The 10,499-nt window shown below is 35.8% G+C and overlaps 1 protein-coding gene across 11 annotated transcripts in view; it reads left to right on the forward strand.

The window, feature by feature from the left end:
• Positions 1 to 9,223, forward strand: part of DCAF17 (DDB1 and CUL4 associated factor 17) — a 50,827-nt gene extending 41,604 nt beyond the window's left edge. For 5 of the 11 annotated variants that reach the window (NR_028482.2, NM_025000.4, XM_011511881.2 and 2 more), the window contains 4 exons: positions 1,031 to 1,121; positions 2,158 to 2,241; positions 4,209 to 4,364; positions 5,145 to 9,223. Coding sequence is in view for 7 of the 11 variants with exons in the window: in NM_025000.4 (NP_079276.2) it covers positions 1,031 to 1,121; positions 2,158 to 2,241; positions 4,209 to 4,364; positions 5,145 to 5,285 (472 nt within the window). In the remaining 4 variants the exon portion in view is untranslated. Of the gene's footprint in view, positions 1 to 1,030; positions 1,122 to 2,157; positions 2,242 to 4,208; positions 4,365 to 5,144 lie in introns of those variants that run through there. The other 6 variants (NM_001164821.2, XM_047445911.1, XM_047445912.1 and 3 more) reach the window with 4 other exon arrangements.

The raw sequence follows: 10,499 nt of genomic DNA on the forward strand, positions 1-10,499 counted from the left end.
ACCTCTCTGGATCTATTTAATATAAGGAAGATGAAAGGATTTAATGAAATAAGATTATTTTTACACATTTTAAACTGTGGTTCCGCTTCAGTAAGCCTTACTTTTAATGTTTGTTACCACCCATATTAGTTTGAACTTAAGAAAACAAGGCCCACGAAGAGTGTATGGCCTTTTGCCAGGTTTTACAATATAAGCATTTAAAAATATTGCCACTAAAAAAACTAAGTGAATAATTTAAATTATTATTTGATCTCTTGGTCTTTGGGAACTCTGAGGTCTCCAGCACTCTCTGGACACATAGCTGCTTCTCTCTGCTGTTCTTTTTTTTTTTGCATTTGAGACTTTGAGCTTGTAAAACATTGTGCTTTTGAAGCTTGTTAACAATGTAAACAGATTTCTGTGGGTGGTGAGCAAATTATTTTATTTTCTTTTAATAGGCTTGATCCATGAGGCCATTTGCACTCCAAACCCCCAAATCTTTAAATATAACCAATCCTAAGAAAAAAGAATAGTATTTTCAGTTGTAGTTTTTAAATATTAATCTATCATGAAAACTCTTAGTTTCTATTTAGGTATAGATTTAATTGCTGATTGAATTTCTTTTTAGTTAACCCTAAGTGTTGCTCATAGATATCTCATCCTACTTCAGAAATAAAAATGCAAATATCTGCTTTAATTGTTAGAGCTGAAATGTTAGAGACCTGTTACAGCATAGCAGAGGTAAGGTTCTTCAGAGTAACTTTCATTAAGCCAGTTTGGAAAATAGCTTAGGCCTGACCAAGCTGATCATTACCTACTTCAGTGGCACCTGTTGTCACAGTTCCCACGTTTTTCTGTTTAACAGAATCTCCGAATTTGAAGGAGTTCATGGACATTTAGTGATCACTTATTAGTATTGTAGACTAATCAAGAGAACTACCTCAGTGTTACTATAATTTTTATTTGTTGAGTTTTACTTCAGTACTTAAACTTTGGCACCTTGATGGTGTTTTGAAGTCTTAGGTTCTCAGAATCCTTTTTCCCTTCTCAGAGTTTTGAAGCTAACTGAAATAGAAAATAATAGTTCTCAGCATCAGATCTCTGAAGATTTTGTCATTTTGGCCAACAGGGAGAACCATAAAGTAAGTCAAGAGTACTTTAAAATCCTTTATATATCATTGTCTTTCTATATAAGACTATAATATGCTAATATATTTGCCTTTGAGTGTAGCAGAAAACAACAGCACAGCCCTATAAAAGTCTGTACATTTTGTCTACATGGGTAGCCAGTTTTAGCCCCATGTACATTTCAGATTTAAAGAAAGTTGACTATCTTGAGTTTGTCTTTTGCTGATTTCCGCTTCTTTTCTGAGTTTCCTTTTAAGTTTTTATTGATGAATTATCAACCTTTGGGTCTAATTAATTGTGCAAACTTAAATTTAATTGGGGTAATATATAAGTCTTTAAAAATCACATACCATACTTTAACTCCAGATGGTACTTTTCTTTTAGTGTATAAATTAAGACCACAAAGAAAATTATGGGGAGAACAATTTCAAAAACAGATCCACTTTTTATTTGCTGTGCTATATACTAAGGCAAAAGTCAGGTGAATGAGGCAGCTAATCTATAATCTTTTAAATAATTTTTTTTTTGCCCATTCTGGCATTTTAGCCATTAAAAACTTTAATAAAGTATTTTTGAGCCGGGCATGGTGGCTCACACCTGTAATCTCAGCACTTTGGAAGGCCAAGGCAGACAGATTGCTTGAGTTCAGGAGTTCGAGATCACCCTGGGTGACATGGTAAACCCTGTCTCTACAAAAAGTAGAAAATTAGCCAGGCATGGTGGTGTATGCCTGTAGCCCCAGCTACTGGGGAGGCTGAGCTGGGAGGATCACTTGAGCCTGGGAGGCAGAGGATGCAGTGAGCCAAGATTGTGCCACTACAGTGAGGCAAGATCGCACCACGGCACTCCAGCCTAGGCGACAGAATGAGACCCTGTCTCAAAATATGAAACGGAGGATCAGAAATCTGATTCAGAATTTTCTCAGTTGAGGAAAGAATTGTGGATGTGGGAGAAGGGTTGGTAAGTTTTACCAAATTTGTTAATACAGTTTTACCTTTGACTGCATGTAATAGAACTTGTCATATCTTTTTATTTCTTTCCATATGATAGAATGAAAATGTACTCACTGTTACAGCTTCTGGACGGGTGGTAAAAAAAAGTTTTAACCTTCTGGATGATGACCCAGAACAAGAGGTATTGCTTTGGCCAGAGATGACAAACCAAACCAGTGTGTCCTTGCATTGTGAATTTCATATTAATACTTCCCCATATCCTGGGGTAGAGGTTGGGGTTGAGGGGTTGCAGGCAGGCCAGTTGGGTGGGGTTGCGCATGCTATTTCAACCAGTGCAAACCCATCATCCTCTCTTTTCATATTGTAATTATTCTTAAAGTTTTATTTGCAGAAAAGTTGATAGGACCAAAATAATTTGAAAACACGATTAGCTTATTGTTTTGTTTTATTTTGTATTGTTTTGTTTTGTTGATGTGTATATTTTCTAGGGAAATCTCTTAAGGGAAAATTCTTGAGTTATATCCTGAGGACTTTATGGTTTTTGCCTCATTTTTTACTTGCTAGACTTGAATATGTTTGTTAATGTCCGTAGTCCAGAGGAAGAGGATGTGAGGGCATGATAAATCAGTTCAGCTCTTATCTTCAAGTTGGTTTTATGAGTCACTGAAGTAATACATTTTTATCCCCTTCCTTTAAAAAGGCATTGGAAGTATTTATGAAATCAACTGATAGTGATCATGCTTTAAACATATAAACCATTGTGTAAATTCTAAATCCATTTAGACTATCTAACTATATTATTTGTAGGACCATTTTTAGGTAGAAACATTAGAGTGGCCTTCCAAGGACAGTTTTTGAACTTCTTTTAAAATAGGTTAGAGGTGGCCCAGTATGTAGCTGTTCTCAAAAAAACACACAAAAAAGTATTATTTTGGACCATACAAACCTATTGAGAACAAAGAAGAAAGCAACATACTCTGCATATAAAACTGTATTCCAGAAAGATGTACTAAAATTTCCAAAAGGTAGCATAATTCATTAAGGGGGGAGAGGTGGTGGCAAAACAGGAGATGCTCTGTATCATGAGATTAAAAAACAAAATATTTTAGCCTGTAAAGGAAAAGTTTGAAGAAATAGTGACTAAAATCTATAAAATCACAGACACCAAGGCAAGAAGTCACCCTTTGAAGTTTGACCATAGTAAGGTGAAGGCAAAAAGGAAATAACGTAAAAGTACATTTTAATAATCAAACGTAATAAATCCATATAAATTTTTATGTCTTAGGGTGGTAAAGGCAGAAAATGTCAGTGGATTAGAGAGCAGTTTGACCAAACATAGGTGAAGAATTAGTGCATAGTGATTGAGGGAAACATGCTATGCCTGTCTTTAAAGTTGATGCCAGGCATTCAGCCAAGATGTACCTTCCTGTGGTCTATTCCTGGATGCTTGGGCACTGATCTGCTTTCCGTGCAAGGTTTCTGGAGTCTCAGGTTTTCTTCCTTGAGACACAGTTCTGGGATTTTTCTCTCTTTACCATAGCTAACCCTCTTGTCCCAGTCCTGTTCTGTGGGTTGGATTTCATTTCCTAATATTCTCCCTCAAGTATAAGCAGCCATTTTTGCTTTATTTAAAAAACCAAAAGGATTTTTTTTTAAAGGTGGTAAAAAGTCATAAATAGTGTATGATGGGTTATCCGTCCTTCTAGAAATGACTGTGTTTTTCTGGTGTGAGAAATTTCAGAGCTCAGTGAGCAGTCTTTAGGTTTCAGAACCGAGCTTCATGTGTTTAGTCCTGTCCAGGAATCAGCAAACACACTTGTGAGAGGCAGCAGTTGAATACTCTTTTAAATTTAGAGAATCTCTGATTTGCTGTCACTGTGGAGAATTTCAATTATACTTTGAGATCTACATAGACTTGGTTTTGTTTATCAAATCTGTAGGATACTGCTTAACTCTTGAAAATCTTGGAGCTGATGTTTTACTAGGCATATAAACAGATACATTTCTACCTATTATTCTTCCCATTCATTCATTCTTCTCCCATATTTTTGTAAGTAATAGAATACTTAAACTATAAATACAGAAATAAGCCTACCTGAATAACTGGATTTTGCCCCTTTCCCTCTATTTTATCTATCTATCCCAAAGACTTTCAAAATTGTGGACTATGAAGATGAGTTAGATTTGCTTTCTGTGGTAGCTGTTACTCAAATAGATGCTGAAGGAAAAGCTCACCTGGATTTCCACTGTAATGAATATGGAACTTTACTTAAAAGCATTCCACTAGTGGAGTCATGGGATGTGGTGAGTAGAGTCCGTGGGATACAAAGTTGTAAACCTTTCCTTTATAGGTGCCATTTATTAGAACAGATGTTATTGTGTTCATGTCAGTCCAGACTCACCTATGCCAATGACCATGTGAAAGAGGTTTTGTCCTATATACAGGACAAAAGAGTACTTCTTAAGCCTTCCTCCCCTGGGCACTAGGGGATCCTTACCAGTGGCCTTAAAGATAAAACTTCATGTGTTTTCCTGAGACATGTTGTCTCTTTCCCTACCCTAGTCTTTGATTTTCTTTCAATTGTAAATTTGGAAAAATTTTTTAAAATAAGAGAATACGGTAATCCCCACAATTATTTACTAGAGACCATATCTAAGCATGCGGGATTCCCAGGTACTCTTGTATACATTTGTCTGATATTTCAACTATTATAGAATGTCAAAGTTGTAAGGAACAATAGACATCATTTTATCCAGGTCTTGTTTTATCAGTGGAGAACCTGGGAAGTTTGGCACCTCGTAAATGATCACACAGTGAGATAGATAATAGCAGCGTTGGCAATAGAATCTGGGTATTTAGACTCCTGGGTCCAGAGTTCTTTTTATTCTCTATATTTTGTAGAATGCCTTTTTTGTTAATAATCTGCATATCCACAAATAATGAAAAATAAACCTCTTTCTAGCAACTATTTTCTTCTAAGTGTATGTTTGAAGATCCCTAGCATAGGTACTGTGACATTTTAGTAACACAGTAGTGAATATGGCTGTGTGAAAAGGACTCCATATGATTGTGTTTTGTTACAGACATATAGCCATGAAGTCTACTTTGACAGAGACTTGGTGCTACACATAGAGCAGAAACCCAACAGAGTCTTCAGCTGCTATGTTTACCAGATGATATGTGACACTGGGGAAGAAGAAGAAACCATAAACAGAAGCTGTTAAAAAGAGTGAGATAATTGTAACCTAAGAGACTTTTAGCCAAACACCCCAGCAGCTGCGTCCAATCCATTTTATTATCTGCATGGCACATTCTCCAGTATTTTCCAAAAAAGTCTTGTGTTGACTTCAGATGACTATGACTTCTTTTTTAAACTCTTGCTGTAAAAGATGGTGAGGACTTCATTTTTTTTAAAGGTTTTTTAGAATACTGTTCCAAGAAGTTTAGTGTTTTGCAGCTTTGAGCTAGGTGGTAATGCAAATATAAAATGCTGGGAACAGAAAAGGACAGGTTAATTCCAATTGTTGAGGAGTTAAGTCATTGATGGGGTGGGTCATTGATGAGTTCTTAAAGGATGGTATGGAATTTTGTTTGTTAAGGCTAGGAAAGACAGGGAGAGACAAAAGTAAACATGCAGAAAGAAATCTTATATCCTCTATACCAAACTTTGCTTAAGGATGAGAAATGAGATGTGTTATGTGAGAACATTATTTTGAGCCCAAAATGTGTCATCACAGTTTTTAAAAATCTTATATATGTATTTATATGTGTTTCGTATTTGTATATAGTATCAGGAATTGGTTCTAGTTCCCAAATTATCTTTTCTTCCTTGGTTTTGTTCTCTTGGCTTGATGTTCACATTGAATATTTGTGTTTCTATATAGGCTAATGTAAAAGATTCCAAGCAAACCTTAAGTGAAATTGTTTTCTGATTTGCATCCTGTTTAGCTCTTAATGTATCTAAGGATGTTCTCATCTCACCATTCTACTCATTTAGTGAGTTTTCTGATCTTGTTTAGGCAATATTTGCATACTTATGCAATAAGATAAAGGTACCCTTGCCTGCAGTAGTTCTGTTTCCTGTAGAAAAGTGGATAAAGAGTCCCAGAAGAAGTTCTTACTAGCTTGGGAGTTACCTGATTAACCAGAGAAAATTTTTGGCTTACTTATGGAACAAGCATTATTTCTTCTTTGTTAGGAAAGATCTAAATATGGTCCTTGACTTTTAATAATCATTCTTTAGAATGTTAAATAAAGGCAACCCAAGTAAAGGGAGAAAATGTTTCTTTGTGCTTCCTGTTTGAGAAATTCAGTTGCTTCCATTTCGCATGTTCTGCACATTTATCCGATGTAACCTCAAAAGAATAACTGGTAATAAGGGAAGGAAACAGCAGCAACAATCATTGCTGATTCAAGTTTAAGGTTAAAATATGGAATTTTTAGCTTGGATGATTTATATTAAAATCTTTCCATTTTTTTTTTCAGTTTTGGCTTGATGCCATGTTAAGAATGATGTGAATTCTTCCCAGTTCTGCCCTGGTGCTAGACATTGCCCCATACTTTCAATTAGACACTAGCTGTATCTAAATAGTCCCACTCAGTAAACTTACATCTTGAAAAACAAGACCAGTAAGAGGCCAGTGAAAGTACTAAAGAAAGAAACCAATGTTGTGTGAGTTTCAAAGCAGCTGCAATGCTGTGTAAAAGTAGAGTGTTCATTCTCCATTTCCAAGAGTGTTTCAGAATAGGATGTCTTAAGACTTCAGTCATGTCAGAGATTTTTTTTTTTAGGTGATTATTGAGTTTCTCCTTCTCCTTTAAGTCATCACCTTCCTTTTATGAAATGATAGTAAGGAACTCGTCTATTCTGAAAGGCATTTGAGAAATAGCTGAATTCCTGGCTGCTTTTTTGCTGGGGGTAGATGGTGGAATACTTCTGGTCTAGATATAACTTACCACTAAGAAACCCCCAGTATGTCACCACTGCCTAAATCTAACTAGACCAGGGTCCAAATGCCATCCAGGCCAGGCAGGAAATATACCTCATGTGAAAGACAGTAAGGAGTTGTGGGCAGTGTAACAAACAGGAGAGCTATGCCCCAACTAAAAGGAGCAGCTGCTACTGCTTAGTTTCAGCCAGTTGCAACAGTATGTGGGAATGTAGGCTGCATGGTTGTTAACAAGATAGATGGTAAAAAGATGCCAGAAGATACAGAAGATAGCAAAGAATGTGGGGAATTTGGATACCACACATAGCGAGAGACAATGAAGCATGCTTCCCAGCTCGCCAGAGTGTCACACAGCTGCTCATTCTGCCACCTGCCAGACATTAATGTCTTCCTGCCCTACCTAAACCCCCTCTTTACCTGATATTTTAATTCGAGACTCTAGCTACATGCCCACCTACTTAACAGGTACTAGTGACAGGTACAAAACATTATGGGTAACAATTCTGAGTGTTTAATGCAAGCCCAGGTGAAGCAGGGTAGCTTCCATCAGCAGGTACAGACGTTACGCTGAAAAGAGGTGCATTCTGCATTGCACTCCTGGATCTAAGTTTCTGCATTCTCAGAGCATCAATGCAGCAAGCTTATTGTTCCTCAATTTTTTACAATATTTATCACAACTCTGGGAGAAAACAAAACAAATCCTATCCTATTTACTATTTGTGCTACCTAGTGAGGAGATACCGCTCTGTTTAGACAAATTAAGGCACTTCACATTCTTCCACCAATTGAAAGTTTTGTATCTTACAGTTCTTTTTTTAAATAATATATTTATTGAGCACTTTCTATCTACTAGTCACTGTGATACAGTATAAGTAAAGTGGGTTGTCTCATTTAATATTCAGAATAACCACATGAAGTATGAACTGCCATTATCTTTCCCCTTTGTACAAATGAGGAAAGTGAGGCTCACAGAAGTTAATTGGCCCAGGGTCCCACAACTAGTCAGTGCAGAGGTGGGAAACATAACCAGATTTGTTCGGCATGAACTTGTGCCAAATTTCCTCCAAAGTTCTCAAAAGGCAAGGCATGTTATTTTATCCCAATTTAGCATACCAACAACTATAATACTAGATATGTAGGAAAGTGCTTAATAATCGTTTTTTACTGATGATTCAGTGTCTAAATTTTGAACAAATTTGGGTAAGATACAAGTCACACATAAATTGACAGAAAATGTAGTTCTTCATTCAATGGTTAGCAGTCATTAAAAGGTACTTTCCCTTTGTTTGTGGTGATAATCAGTATTAGTAGTTTTCATATTATTTGGCTTCCATATTAATCATTTTTATATTTTCTTCTCCTTCTTACCATGTTTACTTATATCATCCATCTTTTAGAATCCCAGGGAGCTAATTTCTGGTCCCTGTGTTGCTATCAAATCTGTATCTTGCAGAAAGAATAATTTATTTCAAACAAGGGACATACAATAGAAAGATAAGACCTACTGAGGTCTTTTTCCCATCATTTTATTATGAAAAATGTTCAAACATACAGTAAAATTGAAAGAATTTTATAGTAAATACTGACCACGGGGATTCTACATCTTACTCTACTTGTTTTATTATTTTCCTATCCAGCGTACTTTTTGATGGATTTCAAAATAAATTGCAGTTGCTGATATACTTCCCCCTAGTACTTCAACTGCAGATTATTAACTAGAGTTTAGTATTTATTTAGTTTTTAAATTTTTTTGATTTAAGATTTACCTGCAATAAAATGTACAAATCTTAAGTATAAATTTACTGAGTTCTTGCAGACATATACACCTGTGTAACCCAAACCCTTTCCAAAATTTAGACCATTGCAATCATCTTCAGAAAGTTTCCTAAATCCCTCTCCCAGTCTATCCCCTCCCCACCCCTCAGGTATAACTACTGTTCTCATTCTTTTATATCAAAGGTTAAATTTACCTGTTCTAAACTTCATATGAGTGAAATTATACAAAATGTAATGCTTCTTTCACTTAGCATAATGTTTTTGAGATTTATTCATGTTGTTGCATGTGTCAGTGATTCATTTCTTTTTATTGCTGAGTATTCTTTCGTATGAATATATCACAGTTTGTTTTTTTATCTTTCTGTTGATGGACACTGGGCTCTTTCTGCTTGTTTTTTACTGTTATGAATAAAGCTGCTATGAACATTCTTAGACAATTCTTTTGTGAACATGTGTCTTTATTTCTCTTGGGTAAATACCTGGGGATGGAATTTTCGGGTCCTTGGGTAGGTGTATATTTAGTTTAATAAGAAACTGCCAGACCTTTTCCCCAAAGGATTGTACGATTTTACATGCTTGCAGCAATGTAGGAGACTTCCACTTGCTCCACACATTCTCCAGCATGTGTGGTTGTTAGTCTTCTTTATCTTAGTATTTATGCTGGGTGTGTAATCATTTCTAGTTGATACTCAGATTGTTTCTACTTGTGGTTAGCAACCCTCTTGTCAACTTGACCTCCTTCCTTCCCCAGGAACTGCTGAAAACATCCTTTGTGATAATAGTTAAGATACCCCAAAACTCAGCTTGAATTATTCTTTCTCAAACATGGGATACATTGCTCATCAAAGAACCCTGATTCCTTTAATGGAGATCATAGTTGGGAACAACCTGGGTTCTAAGGGCACGTGTTCCACCGTTTCACATGACTACTGGAGCTGGACAAAATGGCACTGGAGAAGAGGTCACAACAATCATTATAATAAAAGCAGAAAGGTGACTTTTTTCTTCAAAAGTTGAGTTCGTGTTATCATGTACATGATAACAGGTGAAATCAGGTGAATTTTTTTTCTCTAATATGAGAGCATATTAAACAAGCTGTATCCTTTTCTCACTAACTGTAGTATTCTAGGCCGGATATGTTGTGATAGCAAATTAGTATATTCAAATTTTAGAGGTGCACAAAATTTCAGAAGTATTTATTTATTTATACTCTTTTTGACTCTCAATTCAAGTGTCTTAGAATTTGTGCCAAAGTTTGCAGGTTCAGTTCCTTTCCTCATTATAACCTGAGTCCTATAGAAGGGTGAAGGTGGAAAGGAGGGGGACACTCAGCCTCCTATATAGGCACATTAAAAAACACCATGCTGTGAACACTAAGCTCTCAGATAGAACCCACTGAGATTAACAGACAATAGCAAGGAAAGGGAGGATTGAGATCAGCAATAGCCTGTAATATTTGTCTGATACTCTCCTTTAATTCTTTGTTTTCATGAATACAAGTGTTATTCCTGATTAGAGACAACATTGAATTTTAGTTTCATAAAGAATTTTGGCTACACTTTTTTTCTCAGAAAAACCAACTTTGCAAAGGTGGTAAATCCAATAAAAAGATGTCAGCAAATAAAATCAAATTATTAGAATTATCAGAGATCTTTAAATTTTCTTTATAGACTTATTAAAGTATAATTGACGTGCAGTAAACACTTTTTTTTG

This window comes from Homo sapiens, chromosome 2 (genome assembly GCF_000001405.40).
Source record: "Homo sapiens chromosome 2, GRCh38.p14 Primary Assembly".
Taxonomy (NCBI): Eukaryota; Metazoa; Chordata; class Mammalia; order Primates; family Hominidae; genus Homo; species Homo sapiens.